Source organism: Homo sapiens, chromosome 4 (genome assembly GCF_000001405.40).
Source record: "Homo sapiens chromosome 4, GRCh38.p14 Primary Assembly".
NCBI lineage: Eukaryota > Metazoa > Chordata > Mammalia > Primates > Hominidae > Homo > Homo sapiens.
Window position 1 is genome coordinate 168187240 of NC_000004.12, and position 21886 is coordinate 168209125.

Here is a 21886-nt window from a genome sequence, read left to right on the forward strand (position 1 = left end):
AAAGTAAATAAGTTTAGAAAGGCTAATGGTCCATGGCTCTTTCATAGTGCAGTCCAGAGGAATTATGCTTCCTTTTTAGAACTATTATGATATTTTATTTCAAATATATTATATTTTTCTTTTCAGAATTTTGCTTCAGGGCATTATAAGAAAGCACTGCTTGCCATCTGTGCTGGTGATGCTGAGGACTACTAAAATGAAGAGGACTTGGAGTACTGTGCACTCCTCTTTCTAGACACTTCCAAATAGAGATTTTCTCACAAATTTGTACTGTTCATGGCACTATTAACAAAACTATACAATCATATTTTCTCTTCTATCTTTGAAATTATTCTAAGCCAAAGAAAACTATGAATGAAAGTATATGATACTGAATTTGCCTACTATCCTGAATTTGCCTACTATCTAATCAGCAATTAAATAAATTGTGCATGATGGAATAATAGAAAAATTGCATTGGAATAGATTTTATTTAAATGTGAACCATCAACAACCTACAACAAGAGAGTCTGCTCAAGGCCGTCTTTATCATGATTTGAAAGACCAAGGAAAATGCAGTGTGACCATCCTAGTTTGGGGAATTTTTGAGACTCCTATACAATTACAATAAAGCTAGAGTGATCATCTACAGCAGGCTTTAAAAATAAGTAAAGACGTAAACCAGCAAAATGTGGCCGGGCATGGTGGCTCATGCCTATAATCTCAGCACTTTGGGAGGCCAAGGCAGGCAGATCACTAGGTCAGGAGTTCGAGACCAGCCTGACCAACATGGTGAAACCCTGTCTCTACTAAAAATACAAAAATTAGCTGGGCGTAGTGGCAGGTGCCTGTAATCCCAGCTACTCAGGAGGCTGAGGCAGAAGAATCGCTTGAACACAGGAGATAGAGGTTGTGGTGAGCCGAGATCGCACCACTGCACTCCAGCCTGGGCGACACAGCAAGACTCTGTCTCAAAAAAAAAAAAAGATATAAACCAGTAAAATGCAGCCAGATATATGCTTGCCTGGATTAGACGTATAAGAGATTTGGGTGTAAAAATACTGTGTGTGGCCAGGCGCGGTGGCTCACACCTGTAATCCCAACACTTTGGGAGGCTGAGGCGGGTGGATCACGAGGTCAGGAGATTGAGACCACGGTGAAACCCCATCTCTACTAAAAATACAAAAAATTAGCCGGGCACGGTGGTGGGCGCGTATAGTCCCAGCTACTTGGGAGGCTGAGGCAGGAGAATGGTGAGAACCAGAGAGGCGGAGCCTAGATCACACCACTGCACTCCAGCCTGGGAGACAAAGCAAGACTCCGTCTCAAAAAAAAAAAAAAAATATATATATATATATATATATATATATATATATATAGTGTGTGTGTGTGTGTGCACGTGTGTGTGTTTGACTTGCAGCTATTCTTTTTTTGTGACAGTACTTAACCAACTACTTGCCCAAGCTATGTGAGAAAAGCCATTTCTCTCTGTTTTTATCTTCACCTTTTAACAGCAGCCTCAACGACTTTTGGAAGTTATGATATGCTTTTTTGGTGCCATCAGTAGAGCATGGTCTCTTCTGTCTCTCAAGGTTCAGAAAGTTAGGAGTGACAAAGAAAAAATACTCACTGAGATCAGATTTGGGGAATAACCTAAACTGATGCCACAATCTAGCCAGGACTGAAACCAGAGGCAAGATGGGTGAGTGTAACCTGGAACCAAAAGGAAGAAAATTCTCATCCTGAAAACACATGAAAGTGTAAAATTCACTAGTAAAGCAAACACACAAATGAGGAAGAGAAAGGAGTCACATGGTACCACCACTGAAAAACACCAAACCACAAGAATAAACAGAGGAAAAAAAAAGAAGCAAAGAATATACAAAACAACCAGTAAATAACTAACAATATGATAGGAACAAAACCTCGTATATCAGTAATAACCTTGAATAAAAACAGATTACATTCTCCACTTAAAAGATATACACTGGCTGAAAGGCTAAAAACAGATCCAACTATATGCTGCCTACAAGAAATGCACTTCACCTATGAAGACACATATAGACTGAAAATAAAACTATGGAAAAGATATTTCAAGCAAACAGAAACCCAAAGCAAGCAGAAGTAGCTATATTTATAGTACATAAAATAGACTTTATGTCAAAAAGTAAGAAAAAGACTACATAAGTCATTTCATAATAATAAAAGAACCAATCCAGTGAAATGAAATAACAATTCTAAATATATATGTACCCAACATTAGAGCATCCAGATTCAGAGAGTAAATACTACCAGATCTAAACAGAGAGATGAACTCCAATACAATAATATTGCAAGAATTCAACACCCCACCTTTAGCATTAGGCAGATCATTGAGAAATAAAATTAACAAAGAAACATTGTATTTAAACTGCACTTTAGGGTTGGGCATGGTGGTTCATACCAGTAGTCTCAGCTACTTGGGAGGCTAAGGTGGGAGGATTGCTTGAGCCCAGGAGGTTGAGACTGCAGTGAACTGTGATAATGCCACTGCAGTCCAACCTGGGCAACAGAGTGAGACCCTGTCTCAAAAAATAAATAAATAAGTAAACTGCTTTTTATACTAAATAGACCTAACGGACACTTATAGAACATTTTCTGTAACAACTACAGAAGACACATTCTTCTTATCAGCACGTGCAACATTCTCCAGAAAGGACTATATATTAGACCATAAAACAGTCCCATTGAATTTTTAAAAAATCAAAGTCATATCAAGCATCTTTTCAGACTACAATGAAATAAAACTAAAAATCCATAACAAGAGGAACTTTGGAATGTATACAAATAGGTGGAAATCAAACATGTTGCTAGATGAACATCAGATCAGTAAAAAAAATGAAGATGGAAATCAGAAAGTTTCTTGGACAAATGAAAATGGAAACACAACATACCAAAACCTGTGTAATACAGTAAAAGCAGTGCTAAGAAGGAAGTTTATAGCAATAAATAACTACATAAAGAAATATTTCAAATAAAATCTGACAATGCACTTCAAGGAACTAGAGGATCAAAAACAAACAATACCCAAAATTAGCAGAAGAAAAGAAAAATAAAGATTACAGCAGAACTAAATGAAGTTGAGACTAAAAAAACCAATACAAAGGATCACCAAAATGAAAAAATGGTTCTTCTAGAAAAGAATCAAAATTGATAAACTTCTAGCTAGACTAACCAAGAAGAGAGACACAAATAAACAAAAACAGAAATGAAAATGGAGGCATTAAAACTGATATCACAGAAATATAGAAGATAATCAAAGACTATTATGAACAACTGTATGCTAACAACCTGAAAAACCTAGGAGAAATGAATAAATTCGTGCAAACATAAAACCTATCAAGATTGAATCAGAAAGAAATAGAAAACAAGAAAAGACCAATAATGAATAGTAATTAGAATTGGTAATAAAATGTCTTCCAACAAAGAAAAGACCAGGACCAAATAGATTCTCTGCTGAATTCTGTCAAATGTATAATGAAGAACTTATATCAATCCTCCACAAACTATTCCAAAAGACTGAAGAGGAGGGAATTCTCCCTAACTCATTTAACAAGGCCAGCATTACCAAATGCTGATACCAAAACCAGACAAGGAAAACTACAGGCCAATATACCTGATGAACATAGATGCAAAAATCCTAAAGAAAATACTGGCAAATTAAATCCAATAGCACATCAAAAGGATAATACATCACAAACAAGTGGGACTTATTCCAGGGGTACTATGATGGGTTGACATATGCAGATGAATAAATATGATGATAAATCACATCAACAGAATGAAGGACAAGAAACGTGATTATCTCAATAGATGCAGAAAAAGTATTTGATAAAATCCAACACTCCCTCATGATAAAAACACTCAACAAACTAGGTATAGAAGGAACATATAACAAAATAATAAAGGTCATTTATTACAAACCCACAGCTAACATCATACTGAATGGAGAAATATGGAAAGCATTTCATCCAGGAACTGGAACAAGACAAGGATGTCTACTTGCATCACTCCTATTCAACATGTTACTGGAAACCTTAGCCAGATTAGTCAGTTAAGAAAAAGAAATAAAATGCATCCAAATTGGGGAAAAGGAAGTCAAATTGTCCCTCTCTGCAGATAACAGAATTTTATATTATTTAAAAAAAAGAAAAAACAAAAGACTCCACAAAAAACTCCTAGAACTGATAAGCATATGCAGTAAAGTTTCAGGATACAAAATCATAACACAAAAATCAGTCACATGCCTATACACCAATAACGAAATACCCCAAAGAGAAATCAAGAACTAAATCCTATTTACAACAGCTACCAAAAAAATGCCTAGGAATAAATTTAATGAAGGAAGTGAAAGATTTCTACTAGGAAAACTACAAAACACTGATGAAAAAATTAAAGAGGACAAATGGAAAGATACTATGTGCTCATGGATCAGAAGAATTAATATCATTAAAATGATTATGTAACCCAAAGCAATCTACAGATTCAATTCAATCCCTATCAAAACACCAATGTCAGTTTTCACAAAAATAGAAAAAATTAGCCTGACACTTGTATTAATCAAAAAAGATCCAGAAAAGCTAAAGCAATCCTGAGCAAAAAACAAAGCCAGAGACATCACAATACCTGATTTCCCAACATATTACAAGCCTATAGTAACCAAAACAACATTGTATTAATGGAAAAATAGACAGATAGACCAAAGAAACAGAATAGAGACTCAAGAAATAAATCTATATATTTACAGTCAATTGATCTTCAACAAAGTCATGAGGAACATACACTGGGGAAAAGACACCTTCTTCAATAAATGGTACATTAAAAAAAACTGGCTAGCCATATGCAGAAGAATGAGACTAGACCCCTATGTCTATGTACAAAAATCAACTCAAGATGGATGAACAACTTAAATGTGATACCTGAAACTATAAAACTACTAGAAGAATACATAGGGAAAACTCTTCAGGACACTGGTCCATGCAACGATTTTATGACTAAAACCTCAAAATCACAAGCAACAGAACCCAAAATAGACAAAAGGGACTATATTAAACAAAAAAGCTTCTGCACAGCAAAAGAAACATTCAATAAGTGAAGAGACAACTGCTTGAATAGGAGAAACTGTTTGCAAACTACTCATTCAAAAGGGGGCTGTATCCAGAATATATAAGGAACTCAAACAACTCAACAGTAAAAAACCAATAGTCCCATTAAAAATTGGGCTAAGACATGAATAGACATTTCTCAAGAAGAAATACAAGTGGCCAAGAGGTATATGACAAAATGCTCAAGATCACTAATCATCAGGGAAATGCAAGTCAAAACTACAATGAGATATCACCTCACCTCAGTTACAATGGCTTTTATTTAAAAATCACAAAATAACAGATGCTGGTGAGAATCCAGAGAAAAGGGAACTATTAAACACTGTTGGTGAAATGTAAATTATGCAGCCACTATAAAAAGCAGTGTGGAGATTTCTCAATAAACTAAAAATAGTACTACCACATGATCCAGAAATCCCACTGACAGGTGAAGCCAGTTGGACTTCCTGGGTCAGTGGGGACTTGGAGAACTTTTCTGTTTTACAAGAGGATTGTAAAACGCACCAATCAGCTGGGCGTGGTGGCTCACGCCTGTAATCCCAGCACTTTGGGAGGCCGAGGTGGGCAGATCACAAGGTCAGGAAATCAAGACCATCCTGGCTAACACAGTGAAACCCCGCCTGTACTAAAAATACAAAAATTTAGCTGGGTGCGGTGGCAGGCGCCTGTAGTCCCAGCTACTCGTGAGGCTGAGGCAGGAGAATGGTGTGAACCCGGGAGGTGGAGCTTGCAGTGAGCCAAGATTGCGTCACTGCACTCCAGCCTGGGCGACAGAGTGAGACTCCCTCTCAAAAAAACAAACAAACAAACAAACAAACAAACAAAAACCACACCAATCAGCACTCTGTGGCTAGGATTGTAAAACGCACCGCTCAGCACTCTGTAGCTGGCAAGAGGTTTGTAAAATGCACCAATCAGCACTCTGTAAAGGGATCAATCAGCATCCCATAAAATGGACCAATCAGCAGGATTCTAAAAGTAACCAATCATGGGGAGGACTGAGAAAAGGGCATTCTGATAGGACAGAAACAGGACATGGGAGGGGAAAAATAAGGGAATAAAAGCTGGCCACCCCAGCTAGTAGTCGCAACCTGCTGGGGTCCCCTTCCACGTTGTGGAAGCTTTGTTCTCTTGCTCTTCACAGTAAATCTTGCTGCTGCTCACTCTTTGGGTCTGTGCCACCTTTAAGAGCTGTAACACTTACTGCAAAGGTCTGCGGCTCCATTCTTGAAGTGAGCGAGACCATGAACCCACCAGAAGGAACCAACTCTGGACACACCACTACTGAATATTTATCCAAAGGAAAATAAATCTGTATATCAGAGGGATACCTGCACTCATAGTTATTGTATCACTCTTCACAATAGCAAAGATATGGAATCAACCTAGGTGTCTATCAATAGATGACTCAATAAAGAAAATGTGGCATAAACACACAATAGAATACTAATTGGCCATAGAAGAAGAATAAAATCACGTCATTTGCAGCAACATGAATGGAACTGGAGGTTATTATACTAAGTGAAATAAGTCAGGCACAGAAAGACAAATACCACATCTTCTCATTCATATGTGGGAGTTAAGAAACTTGATCTCATTAACATGGAGAATAAAATGCTAGATACCAGAGAGTGGGAAAGGTGGGTAGGCAGGCGGCTGTATAAAGAGATGTTGGTTAATGGGTATTAACATGCATTTAGATGGAAAAAAATAAGTCCTAATGTTTGGTAGCAGACTATGATGACTACACTTAGCAAGAATATTGTGATAAAACTTGAAATGATACCAAAATATAGAAAGGATAAATATGCAAGGTGACAGATACCCCAAGTACCCTGATGTTGAAACCAACCCAATAGTCCCATATACTGTTCTTTTTGATAAACGTAGAAATTGATCCTTCTGCTCTTAAAGCTTGAAGCTTATATTTGTTTTATCTGAGTTCCTTCCTTTGGACAGGATCTTCAGGCCTCTCAGAAAAGTATCAAAGAACTGAAATTTGCCTCAGAAAAGTATCAAAGGACTGAAACTCACCAGATCACAGCACCAGTTGTCAGACTTCTCATTCATGATGATGGCTTCCTTGCCCCTCCTTAGTTCCTGTTTTCTTATGCATGGTTACATTTCTTCCCTGCTATATAAACCCATAGTTAGTCAGTCAGGGAGATGAATTGGAGACTGAGCTCCCATCTCCTTGGCTGCAGCACCAAGTTAAAGCCTTCTTCCTTGGCAGTACTCATCATCTCAGTGATTGGCTTTCTGTGCAGTGAGCAGTAGGGCCTAGACCAAACCCTTGGTATTGCAGTAACAATGGGACCATTACATATTCTATCCCTGCAACAAACACTCACATATACCCCATAAATATGTAAAATATTATATATCAAGGAAAGAAAAATAATGGGTAACTAGGTAACATGAACAAATTAATTTGCATCACTATGGTAATAATTTTACTATCTATAGCTATATCTTAAAACATCATGTTGTATACCTTACATATATACATTCAAATTTATTTTTTAAAATGGAAGATATATTTCAATAACGTTAGAAAATGAGAAGGGATCAAAATGATAAGACATAAAAATCAATGGAAATGAAAGGAAGTGGCAATTGAGAAAATGAGGAACAATAATAGTATAAGACTAAAAATCCATATTAGCAATTACTTTAAATGTAAATGGTTTAAACACTCCAATCCAAAGGTAGACATTGGCAGAATAGATTAAAAAAATAAACATAATCGAATATATACTGTCTGAAAAGACTCCTTTTAGATCCCAAAGCACAAAGAGGCTGGAAGTAAAATGATGGGAAAAGATATTCTATGCAAACAGCAAATAAAAGAGATTTGGTTTGGCTATACTAATATCAGACAACATAGATTTTCAGTCAGAAACTGTTATAGATTCTGGGGTGACCTGGCAGTGTTGCCACACAGGCATTTTAGTCTCAAGCTGGAGACTGGAGTGCCTGGCCTGGAGTTGGGTAGGGGCCTCCACAGCCAGAACTGTGGAAAGCATCTCAGCAGTAGGTGTTGGAATTGTGTTCTACCCTGTTGCAATCCTGGGGAAAGAGGAGTACTTCTAAAGCTGCAGTTTCTCCTGGACAGTGAGATTTGCAGCCAGGTCAAGTTTAGTAATCTGGAATCAGTCTGCATGTGCCATTTCTTGGTGCCCCAGCCTGCTATCCTGAGATCATGATGCAATGGGGTCCATACCACTCCACTCCCAGGCAGAATTTCAGGCACTTGGAGCATCTATTTGATTGGACGAATAGCCTGAGCCACCCTATCCTTCATAGACACAGATTGTGGTCCAGTCAGGCCCTCTCCACTCCATGCCCATACAGATGTCCATGCATGCAGGGTACCCATTCACCTGCTTCAGCAGCCTGAGCTGCCCCACACTTCCTGGGCATAAATTGTGGTCTAGCATGGCTCTCTGCTCCATGCCTAGGCAAAGCTCCAGGTAGTCAGAGCATCTGCTTGCCTGATTCAGCAGCCCAAGTTGCCTCACCCCTCCTGTGCAGAGATCTTTGTAGAGGGGGGCACTCCTTGCTTCAAACCAAGCAGATCTCCAGGCACTCAGAGGACGATGCTTACCTGGATCAGCAGCCTGACCTGCCCAGTCCTTCCTGTACAGAGATCCTGGTGCATGGAGGCCCTCTTTGCTTCATGCCCAGGCAAATCTCCAGACATTCAGAGCACCCACTCACCTGGTTCAGTAGCCTGAACCACCCCACTGTTCCTGGACATAGATTATGATGCAGTGAGCATCTCCCCACTCTGTCCCCAGGAAGATCTCCAGGAATTCAGAACACCAATTCACCTGTATTACCATCCCAAGCTGCCCCATCCTTCCTATACAGACAACCTGGTGCAGGGGAGGTCCTCTCTGCTCCACATCCAGGTAGATCTCCAGGTACCCAGAGAACCTACTTTCCTCAAATAGGAGCTTAAGCCACCCTCCATCCCCAAGCAGAAAACTTGGGGCCAAGGAGATTTCCCAGCTCCATGCCTAGGCACACCTCTGGGCACCTGCTGGCCACCCACTGGATTCTCTCTTGGCATTGGCGGTGTGCCAGACATTGGGGGATAAGTAGGTGAGCCTGCCTAGTCTGTCCCCATCTATTGTAGCCCCTGCCCCCTGCCTCCAGGGCTGAGCAGGGAACTCAGATAACTGTGCATTTCATGAATCAGCCCTTTGCCTGAGGCAAAGAGAGCCTCTACCAGAAAATAAGGATCAAGTATATACAAAGCTGTGTTGGCTGCAGCTGGCTCTTTTCTATAAGCACCATCTAATATCTTGTAGGCAGAAATGCACAGTCTAATATAAAACCTGCTGAAGGAAGTAAATAAGACTATAGAAGCAAACCCAAAAGACCCTATTCAGCATTCTCTACAGTCACACCCCCTAGGGAGATAGGGAAGAGAAAAGGAAAGAAGAAAACGCAATAATATTATAGGAAAAGAAATAAAACACAAAAAATCCCACCTACACAAAATAATTACAAATATTGGAAGTGCCAGCATCTCCAGATGAAAAAACCCAGTGCAAGAATTCTGGCATCACGAAAATCTGATTGTAGTAACACCACCAAAGAATTGCACTAGCCCTCTAGCAATGGTCACTAGACAAAATGGAAATTAAGAAATGACAATTTAAGAACTGAAAGCATGGATTGCAAGGAACCTTAACGAGATCCAAGACAAAGATAAAAATCAACACACACAAAAAAAAAACCTCTATAGCAACCCAGTAAACAAAGGAAAACATTAACATATTTTTAAAAAATCAATCAGAGCCACTGGAATTGAAAACCTCACTTACGGAATTTCAAAATACAATTGGAAGCTTTAAAGCTTTATTAATAGAATAGATCAAAAGGAAGAAATAATATCACAGCTTGAAGATTGTTTGTTCAAACTGATTGAGTCAAAAAAATTAAGGTAAAATAATTTTTAAAAATGAACAAAGTCTTTGAGACTTTGGGATCCCACACATAATATGGGACTATGTAAACCAACCAAACCTACACATTTTGGCATTTCTGAGAGAGAAGGAGAAAAAAAGTAAACAGCATGAATAACATATTTGAAGGAATAATTCAAAAAAATTTCCCAGCTGGGTGCGGTGGCTCATGCCTGTAAACCCAGCACTTTCAGAGGCCAAGGCGGGCAGCCTCATGAGGTCAGGAGATCGAGACCATCCTGGCTAACAAGATGAAACCCTGTCTCTACTAAAAATACCAAAAAAAATTAGCTGGGCATGGTGGTGGGCACCTGTAGTCCCAGCTACTTGGGAGGCTGAAGCATGAGAATGGCGTGAACCCGGGAAGTGGAGCTTGCAGTGAGCTGGGATCACGCCACTGCACTGCAGCCTGGGTGACAGAGCAAGACTCTGTCTCAAAAAAAACAAAAATAATTTCCCTAATCTTGCTAGATAGGTAAACATCCAGATACAAGAAATAGAAAGAACACCTGTACAAAAATACCTATACAAAATGAAAATCACCAAGGTATACTCACCAGACCATCCAAGGTCAACAGTAAAGAAAATATCTTAAAGGCAGCTACAGAGAAGGGACAGGTCACTTACAAAAAGAACCACATCAGGCTAACAGTGGATTTCTCAACAGAAACTTACAATCCAGGAAAGACCACAGGCCTATTTTCACCATTCTTAAAAACAACAAATTCCAACCAAAGATTTTATATCCTGCCAAATTAAACTCCATACATGAAGAAGAAATATTTTCCAGACAAGTAAGAACAAAGGGAATGTGTCATCACTAGACCAGCCTTAGAAGAGATCCTTAAAGGAGTTCTAAACATGGAAACAAAAGAATGATACATGCTATCCCAAAAACACACTTAAGTACACAGTGAACACATAAAGCAACCACATAATAGAAACTACAAAACAACCAATTAACAACTTCATAATAGAATCAAAACCTCACATGTCAATATTAACTTTGAATGAAAGTGGTCTAAATGTCCCACTTAAAAGGCACACACTGTCAAGCTGGATTAACAACAAGACCCATTTGTCTGCTGTTTTTAAGAGACTGATTTCATGTGTAATGACACCAGTAAGCTCAAAGTAAAGGGTTGGAGAAAGATTCTCCATGCAAAAGGAAAGCAAAAAAGAGCAGGGGTCGCTAGTCTTCTATCAGATAAAACAGATTTTAAACAAAGAGCAGTAAAAAATGACACAGAAAGGCACTATAACAATTTATAACAGAGCTGTGGTGGGCTCCACCCAGTTCGAGCTTCCCCAGCCGCTTTGTTTACCTACTCAAGTCTCAGCAATGGCGGACGCCCCTCCCCAGCCTCACTGCCGCCTTGCAGTTCAATCTCAGACTGCTGTGCTAGCAGTGAGCAGGCCTCTGTGGGCATGGGACCCTCTGAGCCAGGCATGGGATATAATCTCCCGGTGTGCCATTTGTTAAGGCCATTGGAAAAGCACAGTATTATGGTGGGAGTGTCCCAATTTTCCAGTACCATCTGTCACGGCTTCCCTTTGCTAGGAAAGGGAATTTCCTGACCCCTTGTGCTTCCTGGCTGAGGCGATGCCCCACCCTGCTCCATGGGCTCCACCAACTGTCTGACAAGCCCCAGTGAGATGAATCTGGTACCTCAGTTGGAAACGCAGAAATCAACTGTCTTCTGTGTCACTCACGCTGGGAGCTGCAGACTGAAGCTATTCCTATTCAGCCATCTTCACAATCTCCCAAGATTGAATCAGGGAGAAACAAAAAACCTGAATAGACCAATATAAATTTCCAAAATTGAATCAGTAATAAAAAACCTACCAATTAAAAAATTATTTTTTGGAATAATTTTAGTAGAATTGGTAATAGTGTTATAGCTCTTTATATTTCTGATCAAATTCAACTGTGAAGCCACACGGGCATGGGTTACTCCTTAAATCACTCTATGAAGCCAGCATCACCCTGACATCAAAATGACATACTCATTTTTCTCACTATTTCATCTATATGCAGGCACCAAACCATCCTGTGCCTGTGGTTTTCCCTTTCACAGTCCAACAGCTGGCAGTAGTCACAAGACGTGTGGAATGAGTCCTCACATGTGTTCTGAGAAGCTCTAGAGAGGCAGGTAGAGCTACACTTATTCCTGGAACTGAATTGATGGCAGCACCCTCTCTGTGCCAGCTGTCACACTGCTGTAGGTTTTGTTTCCTCACAGAGCTTTGTGTTTTGTTACAGCTTTAGAAAACAAAAGAAGAGTAGGTAGCTTATCACAGAATCCCATTTTTTAAAGTCAAAGCCCCTAGAAAAATATATGTCTGGAACACTGAAGGCAAAGGTTGAAAGTATATGCACATACACCTGCAGTCTGGCATGTGCCCCAGCTACTAACTACTTCAAGGACATAGCCCAGCCACTCCCTTAGACTCCCAGTCACGTTTCTTTCTCTTGTCACTTCTCCTGATTCTCCTTCTTCCTCTTCCTCTCCGTTTTATCCATTCTCCCCTTTTTTTTTTTCAAATTTGATTTTTAAATGTGATAAAGATCAGAGCAAGGTAGAGAAAATCTTGGGGTGATTAATTAGTCTTGAGAGTCACTAAAAATTATTCTCCATCAGCTCAAAAGTCTTGATGAGTGTAGAAACCAACACTTTGTATTAAAAAACTATCTGCTGAATGGAATCTGATGTCCAGTAAAAAATAAAAGCATGATGGAGAGCTCCCGTGCATGGACAGTGCTATGTAGAGAATTAGCACAATGAATTACCCTCAAGGTTTTAATGAGATGCAAGAAATAGTACTTCATTGTGATATGACCATCTTCATATTTCTTCACTTCTTAAGTATCAAAAATTAATAAGGTTAGAGAAAATTTGAATAATGCAATTAGGAACCTTTCTCTGATTGCTAGTACATGTAATAATTTGAGAATATACATATACAATCTTCTCATGCATATAAGAAATGTTTATGAAAACTAACCATGTATTAAGTCACAAAACTACAAAATTCAAAGAATAAGTGTCTTAGGAACTACGTTCTCTGACGACATGATCAGTAATGAAAGATAAATAAGAAAATCAAAATAAAATGGCTTATGTCTGGCAGTTAATAAGACTACTTCTAAATAACTAAAGAGGCAAAAGTTAATTAGTCAAAATACTTGAAATAACCTTAAAATATTTATTAAAATGTATGGAATGCATCCAAAATTATGATTAGAAAAATTTATATCTTAAATACTTTTATTGGAAAGAAGTTAGAATGAAAATTAGTGAGATAAGCATCCAACTTAGCTAAGGGAATTAAAAGAACCAAGAAAAAAAGTTAAAAGAAGACTATTTTCTAAGAAAGTAAATTAAGGAGATAATTAAGATTAAAAATTTATTGACACATAAAAAAGAAAAACGATTGATAAAGCCAAAACTAAATACAACTATGACTATGCCTTACTTAGCAACAGGATACATTTAAGAAATGTGTCATCCTTGTGTAAACATCATAGAGTGTACTTACACAAACCTAGTCTACTACATACCTAGCCTAACCTCCTAGGCTACCAACATACACAGGGGTGTTACTGTACTCAGTACTGTAGGCAATTGTAACACAATGCTATTTATGTATTTAACCATATCTAAACATACTAATGGTACACCTATATAGGGCACTTACCGTGAGTGGAGCTTGCAGCACTGTATGTTGTTCTCGGTAAGTTCATGAGTGAGTGGTGAGTGAATATGAAGGTCTAGCTCATTACCGTACATCACTGTAAACTTTATAAACACTGTACATTTGGGCTACACTAAATTTATAAAAAAATTTTTTATTCCTTCATTATTAAATTAACCTTGGTTTACTGTAACTTTTTTACTTTATAAACTCTTAATTTTTAAAAATTTCTGACACTTTTGTAATAACACTTAAAACACACACCCAGGTTGTACACCTGTACATATTTTCTTTCTATATATCATTATTCTATCACCTTTTTTCTATTTTTTTAATTTTTAAACTTTTTTATTAAAAACTAAGACACAAACACACACATCAGCCTAGGCCTGCACAGGGTCAGAATCATCAATATCACTGTCTTTCTCCTTCACATCTTGTCCCACTGGAAGGTTTTCAGGGGCAATAATACACATGGAGCTGTCACCTCCTGTGATAACAATGCCTTCTTCTGGAATAGCTCCTGATGAACCTGCCTGAGGCTGTTTTACAGTTAACTTTTTTTTTGATAAGTAGAAGGAGTACACTCTAAAGTAATCATAAAAAAGCATAGTATACTAAAAGTTAGGCAATAGGAATCTTTTAGTTCCATTATAATCTTATGGGACCACCTTCATATGTGTGGTCCATTGTTGACTATAATGTCATTATGTAGCACACGACTATATTTCAAAATAATAATAGTTCAACAACATGAGCTTGGACATGCATAGTGGTAGAAATAAAAAAGAAAATAAGTGGGAGATCCATTGTAAAAAGTATGTCAATAGACATGGATACAGATTGCATCCAGAGGTAGAAAATTAGTTTAAGGATGACAAATTCATTATGACAATAAGAAACAAAACTTCTGCAGACTACCTTAAGTTTTTATTTATTTCATCTCTTGTAACATACATGAGCATCTCAGAAAGAAGGGAACAGCCCATGCCTAACAGTACCATTCTCTGGGAATACTAGTGGCAGTTTATTTATTGAATTCATATTTTACAGTGAAGAAAGAATTGTCACACAGTAAATAGCTAATAATCCACCAACACGCATACACACACACACACACAAACACACACACACATACACCCTTTCCAATGTCCCCTGGCAATAGTCCCTCACGTCTGGGTCCCTGGCAATACTCCCTCATGTCTAGTTTTTTTCTAGGCTTTACATCCTTTATTTCACTCCTGTTTACTTTCAGCTGATTCTATTTGTGTGTTTTCTATATATCACACCTGTTGCTAAAGAGATTTGTTTACACATTGATATGGCCTGGCTCTGTGTTACCACCCGACTCTCATGTTGAATTGCAATTCTTAATGTTGGGGGAGGGGCCTGGTGGTAGGTGATTGGATCATGTGGACAGATTTCCCCCTGCTGTGCTCATGATAGTAAGTGAGTTCTCATAAGATCTGGTTGTTTAGAAGTATGTGGCACTTCCCCCTTCACTCTCTCTCCTGCTGCCATGAGCAGATATACTTGCTTCCTCTTCACCCTTCTGTCATGATTTTAAGTTTCGTGAGGGCTCCCCAGTCATGCTTCCCATACAGCCTGCAGAACTGTAAGTCAATTAAACCTCTTTTATTCATAAATTATCCAGTCTCAAGTACTTCTTTATAGCAGTGTGAGAACTAATACAGAAAATTGATACCAAAGAAGTGAGGCATTGCTATAAAGATACCTGAAAATGTGGAAGTGACTTTGGAATTGGGTAATGGGCAGAGGTGGGAACAGTTTAGAGCACTCAGATGAAGACAGGAAGATGTGGGAAAGTTTGGAATGTCCTAGAGATATATTGAATGGTTGTGACCAAAATGCTGATAGTGACATAGACAATGAAGTCCAGCCTGAGGTGGTTTCAGATGGAGATAAGAAACTTATTGGGAACTGGAATAAAGGTCATCTTACTATGCTTCAGCATAGAGACTGGGGGCATTATTCCCTTGCTCTAGGGATTTGTGGAACTTTAAGCTTGAGAGAGATGATTTAGGATATCTGGCAGAAAAAAATTTCTAAGCAGCAAAGCATTCAAGATGTGGCCTGGCTGCTTCTAAAAGCCTATGCTAATTTGCATAAACAAAGAAATGACACTAGAGAACATATATTTAAAAGGGAAGCACAGCATAAAAGTTTGGAAAGCTTGCAGCCCAACCATGTGGTACAAAAGAAAAAAAAATTTTCTAGGGAGGAATTCAAGGCTGCAGAAATTTGCATAAGTAAAGAAAAGCCTAATCTTAATAGCCAAGACAATGGGGAAAATGCCTCCAGGGCATTTCAGAGACCTTCATGGCAGCCCCTCCCATTACAGGCCTGAAGGCCTAGGAGGAAAAAATGGGTTCATGGGCCAGGCCCAGGGCCCCACTGTTCTGTCCAGCCTTGGGACATGGCACCCTGCATCCCAGCTACTCCAGCTCCAGGAGTGGCTAAAAGGGGCCAAGGTACAGCTTGAGCCATTGCTTCTGAGGGTGAAAGCCCCAAGCCTTGGCAAGCTTCCAAGGCTTGTGCCTGCAGGGGCACAAAAGCAAGAGTTGAGCTTTGGGAGCCTTTGCCTATATTTCAGAGGATGTATGGAAATGCCCGGATGTCTAGGCAGAAGTCTGCTGCAGAGATGCAGCCCTCGTGGAGAACCTCTACTTGAGCAGTGCAGAGGGGTTGCAGCCCCACAGACAGTCTTCACTGGGGCACCGCCTAATGGTGCTGTGAAAAAAGGGCTACCATCTTCCAGATCCCAGAATGACAGATCCAGCAACAACTTGTGTCGTGTGCCTGGAAAAGCTGCAGGCACTCAACACCAGGCTGTAAAAGCAGCTGTGGGACCTGTACCCTGAAGGGCCACAGAGGCAGAGCTGTGCAAAGACTTGGAAGTCCATCCCTTGCATCAGTGTGCCCTGAATGTGAGACATGGAGTCAAAGGAGACTATTTTAGAGCTTTAAGATTTAATGACTGCCTTGTTAGGTCTCAAACTTACATGGGCCCTGTAGCCCCATTGTTTTGGCCAATTTCTCCCTTTTGGAATGGAAGCATTTATCCAATGCCTGTACCCCCATTGTGTCTTGAAAGTAACTAACTTGTTTTTGATAACAGGCTCATAGATGGAAGGGACTTGTTTGTCTCAGATGAGACTTTGGACTGGAACTTTTGAGTTAATGTTGGGATGAGTTAAGACTTTGTGGGACTATTGGGAAGGCATGATTATGTTTTGAAATGTGAGAAGGACATGAGATTTGGAAGGGAACGGGGCAGAAGATATGATTTGGCTCTATTTCCCCACCTAAATCTCATGTCATATTGTAATTCTTAATGTTAGGAGAGGGACCTGGTGGGAGATGACTGGATCATGGGGCGGATTTCCCCCGTTCTGTTCTCATAATAAAGAGTTCTCACAAGATCTGATTGCTTAAATGTGTGTAGCACCTCCCCCTTTGCCCTCTCTCTCTCCTGTCTCCATGTGAAGATGTGCTTGCTCCCCTTCACCCTTCCACTGTAATATTAAGTTTTCTGAGGCCTCCCCAGCTATACTTCCTGTACAGCCTGAGTAAATTTGAATCAATTAAATCTTTTTTTCACAAATTACCCAGTCTCTGTTAGTTCTTTATAGCAGTGTGAGAACAGATGAATACACACATATTGTGTTATATATGCAAAAAATAGAATATAAATTTAAAATCAATGAATAAAATAAAGTAATGGGTAAATAAGGAAAGGAAAATACTTGAAGCCCAGATTGAGATGTATACTAAATGTCTCCCCTGAGATTCCCCTTTTCTAGTGCTGTGAGATGACCACAACTCCTTTATATCACGAGATATTTTCTCACTTTTGTATTTCACCCTGCAACTTATCCCCAAACTATAAATATAGTAATGATGGTGTTTTAGGAAGTTAATAATATATAATGCCCTTTTTATTCTTACATGGTTTAATTGGAAAATGACACAGGTGATAGATGAATGGAAATACAATGTCAGCCTTGTGACTATAGTAAATTTCCTATTGCTGCTATTAATGAGTTACTATTAAATTAGTGGTAATATCACTGTTCTCAAAGTCAGATGTCTAAAATGGACCTCACATGCTAGAATTAAGTGGCTGACAGGGCTGTGTTCCCTTCTGGAGGCTCTAATGGAGGGTCTTTCTTTGCTAGACAAGGGAAGGGCTGGATCTACAAAGTAACTGAATAAGCCAAGGTGGAAAAATAATGGGGTCCATAAGAGTCATGTACCAGAAAAGAACATGAATATGTGCTAATAGATGTCTGCTAAAATACTTGTCTGTATTGTACATTTTTTAAACTTCATATTTTCCAAATGCTTCAACATCCCCACAAACAGGCTGTGAACACCCTGCCCAGGCATCCAGGCACACTTCTTTTCCTCCACTCACTGTCACCTACTGACATTCAAACACACCAGTGAAATCCCCTCATCCCTGATCCCCAACAAAGACACTTGCCCAGGGGTCCTTTCCCTCTCTCTGCTCCCCACCTACTTGGTTGAACCTGAATGGTGACCATTCCTCTCCCTCTAGAACCTGTGAGTACAATAACTTTTCATTTCCTATGCCTCAGCAAGTGTACTGTCTACAGCCATGTTGGATTGATTTTTCAAGATCCTATAATATTTATAATCCAATTTATAACCCAATTTATAACCTGCTATCAATAAGCAAAAACCTAGATCATCCTTCATTTTTCTCATAATGTCATATTCGTTATATAATCCATCAACAATGTAAGCCTACTTGAGTTTACACCTTCTCTCCCTTTCTACTGTAGCTAATTTAATCCAAGCCACACACTTGTGTCATGATGACTGTCATAGCCTCCTTCTCTCCTTGCCTCCTCCAGTCTGTTTCTCATGAGGTAAAAGAACATCATTTGGAAACGCAAATCATAGCATGTCTTGACCACGTCTTGGCCAAAATGTTCCACTGTATTCTTCAAATCTATAGCCTATAAGGCCCCCTTCTTCTATTCCACTCTAATCTCTTACCACTTTCCTTATTTACTTCACACAGTCACACTGCCCTTCTCGGTATATCTTAAACACAACTTTATTCTCCCATCAGGCCTTTGCACTGCTGTTTCTCTGCCTGAAATTTTTTTCGTAATTTCTTCCTTTTTTTTTTTTTTGAGACAGGGTGTCACTCTGTCACCCAGGCTGGAGAGTGCAGTGGCACAATCATGGCTCACTGAAGCCTCGACATCCCAGGATCCAGCGATCCTCCTACCTCAGCCTCCTGAGTAGCTGGGACCACAGGTATGTGCCACCACACCTGGCTATTTTTGTATTTTTGGTAGAGATGGGGTCTTGCCATGTTTTCATGGCTGATTTTGAACTCCTGAGTTCAAGCAATCCATCTGCCTTGGCCTCCCAAAATTCCGGAATTATAGGCATGAGCCACTGCACCTGGCCTGCCTGAAAATTTCTTTCTCCAAACCTTTGTGTGGCTATTTTCCTCCCCACTCCCAACAGTTTTTATATAATTATCTGACCCTTATCCTATTTTGTCAATGACTTTAATAGGACATAAAATTATGTTATATATTTATGTGCAAAAACTGCAATTACTTTTGCACCAACCTAATATTTCAGCCTCAGTGTTATTGAACTGCAGACTCAACGTGCATAAAATCAGCCAGGGTTGGGGTATGATTCTTTCTCAGAGAATTAAACATCTATGTAGAGTTGTATCAAGAAAGCCAGGCCCTGTAATAAAAGGGTCTACATTTTCTGGTTTCTAGGATATTGTTCAGCTGCATCAGCTATGATAAAAGCTTGTTATCAACTTCAGAGTCACAAAGATGTGCAGTGCAAGCATTATTAATCCATTTATTACTGGGAAATTAGATTTGGTTTCAGATTGGTACACCCACATAAATAATAAGAGCTAATACAGGTTTAATCAAATGCATTGGTAAGACACAATTTTTTTTCATAGGCACTCAACCTAGTAGGGACTTCACCTGCTTGTGATATAAAGATGATACAGTGGGTCTTTATTGCACAGGAAAATATAAACCGGATCACAAAGGGATATTGAGAGGAGCAGGGACTAGCTTTGAGTATATTCTCTGGTTATGGAAGGCTTGCTCACTTATATAAGATTTCTTGCAGTAGCAAAAATTCCTATAAAGATCAGCATTTCAAGTTGAAGAGGCAAAGCTTCCCTTGACCCAGTTACTGATTCATGCAAAAACTGTAGTATCAAACATCCCCCAACATGTTCAGACCTTCCTTTCTTTTGATAAAAATGTCATGAATGAAAACTTCCATTTCTGGGCAAGATGGAGCAACCTCATTTCTTCCAGGTCTTTTTTCTTACAACTCAAAAAAGGTCTTCTTTCTTAAAACGCAAAAACCTTGGACACAATATAAAAGTAAGAGTAAGAAGACTGAAACATGAGAAGAAGAAAGCGAACTACCTAGTGATCTCAAGTCAAGGAGCAACATGGCAATATGTTTCCTGGGTTTCCTTATTGACTCCCACATATCCTGGCCATGGTGCTACAGAAGTCCATGACCTAGAACTGCCAACTGGCACAGATAAAACTAGTCCAAGAAAAGCCTATTTTCCCCCAGCCAAATGACCTTAACAAAGAGTGGTCTAATGTAGAAAGCCTTTTTGGCAATATCCGTTGCTATGCTTTGAATATGTTGTCCCCAAAACTTAATTGGAAACTTAATCTCCAATGAAACAGTGTTGAGAGGCAGGGCCTAATGGAAGGTGTTTAGGTCACAATGGCTCCACCCTCATGAATGGATTAATGCCAATTATAAAAGGGCTTCAAGCTTCAAGTTCAGTCTCTTACTCGCTCATGTGCTCTCTCTCTTGCCCACATGATGACTTCTGCCATTTTATGATGCAGCAAGTAGTAATTCACCATTCTGTGTTCCCTTGATCTTGGACATCTCAACTTCCAGAATCATGAGCCAAATAAACTTACATTGTTTATAAATTACCCAGTCTGTGGCATTCTGTTACAGCAGCACAAAATGAACTAAAACATCCATCCTACTCCTTCCAAACACCAATAGAAAAAAATACAGCAACTCTCCTCCACTGCAGTTTCAACAGAGCAGAGTGAGAAGCTAATCCACTGCCTGTGCCCCTGCCCCATAGAAGCAGACAGTGGCACTCTCATTCCCTTGCCTGTTGGTGCTGGCAGGGCTGAGCAGGGAGCTATTATTCCATTCCCTGCCTAAAAGAAGCAGGTGTTGCTCAGATTCCCTCACCAGGATAATGTCAGCAGGTTCCAGCAGCAAACTAAGCCTCTACCCTTACCTGGCAGCAATGAGAATTGATAAAGAACTAAGAGGTCGGGCTAATCACCACTACGCTTTACCCTCTCCTGGTGGCATTAGGGCCTTCTGAGTCTCTCCCTGACTTGCCATCAGTGAGAATGAATGAGGTAGTGTGAAGTGGGGCTCATTGGTACTCTCCTTTTACCTCCCTCCCTGACAATTCTCCATGTGTCCCTGAAGTGACCCAGTTCTCCTCCCTCTCTTGCTTGTAGTTGTCCTCAAGAATAACTATGGAATGTGCTGTGAATGCAATATCCTGAGATAAGGGGGAATTGGCTGGAATCATCCAGGCTCTGTTTTAGTCTTCCCCAGAATAGGCTGTGCATTGAAATTCTTTATCCCAGTGACTCCTGTTGCTATGGGGTATAAAAATCAAACCAGGCTGCTTTCTAAGGTCCCTCAGCTGTGGTGCAAGTAAGGCCCCAATAATTGAGATTTCATCTTCCTTGCCAGCTTTCCTGAGCCTTGGGGCACTAGTTCGCAATGAATCGGAGGCTTCTGTTGTACCTTGCTGCCTATCTGTGAGTTATAAATCTGCCTCATGTAGTTTGCTGTGCATGAGTGTGTTCTTTCTCATCAGACTAAGACAAGGTGGTAAACCAGTACTCAGTGAACCTACTTCACAGTGTGTACCAGGGTTGGGATGGTCCGCAGTGGAATGCTGAGCTTCCACTCACAATCAACATCAATAAGGAAGAATGAGGTGGAGCAAAGCAAGACTAATCAGCTCTT

The 21886-nt window shown here is 39.6% G+C and overlaps 1 protein-coding gene and 1 long non-coding RNA gene across 4 annotated transcripts in view; one reads left to right on the top strand and one right to left on the bottom strand.

Annotated features, from left to right (window-relative positions):
- The window catches only part of ANXA10 (annexin A10), a 95200-nt gene extending 94703 nt beyond the window's left edge, over positions 1-497 (top strand). For both annotated transcript variants that reach the window (XM_011531571.3, NM_007193.5), the window contains one exon: positions 127-497. In XM_011531571.3, the coding sequence (XP_011529873.1) occupies positions 127-195 (69 nt within the window). In that variant the 3' untranslated portion in view covers positions 196-497. The remainder of the gene's footprint in view (positions 1-126) is intronic.
- LOC105377524 (uncharacterized) overlaps positions 1-11808 on the bottom strand; it is a 29038-nt gene extending 17230 nt beyond the window's left edge. For both annotated transcript variants that reach the window (XR_007058356.1, XR_939424.3), the window contains exons 1-2: positions 11769-11808; positions 7158-7257 (exon numbers count right to left, since the gene is read on the bottom strand). This is a non-coding gene — a long non-coding RNA (uncharacterized LOC105377524). The remainder of the gene's footprint in view (positions 1-7157; positions 7258-11768) is intronic.
- Between the last annotated feature and the right edge of the window lie 10078 nt (positions 11809-21886).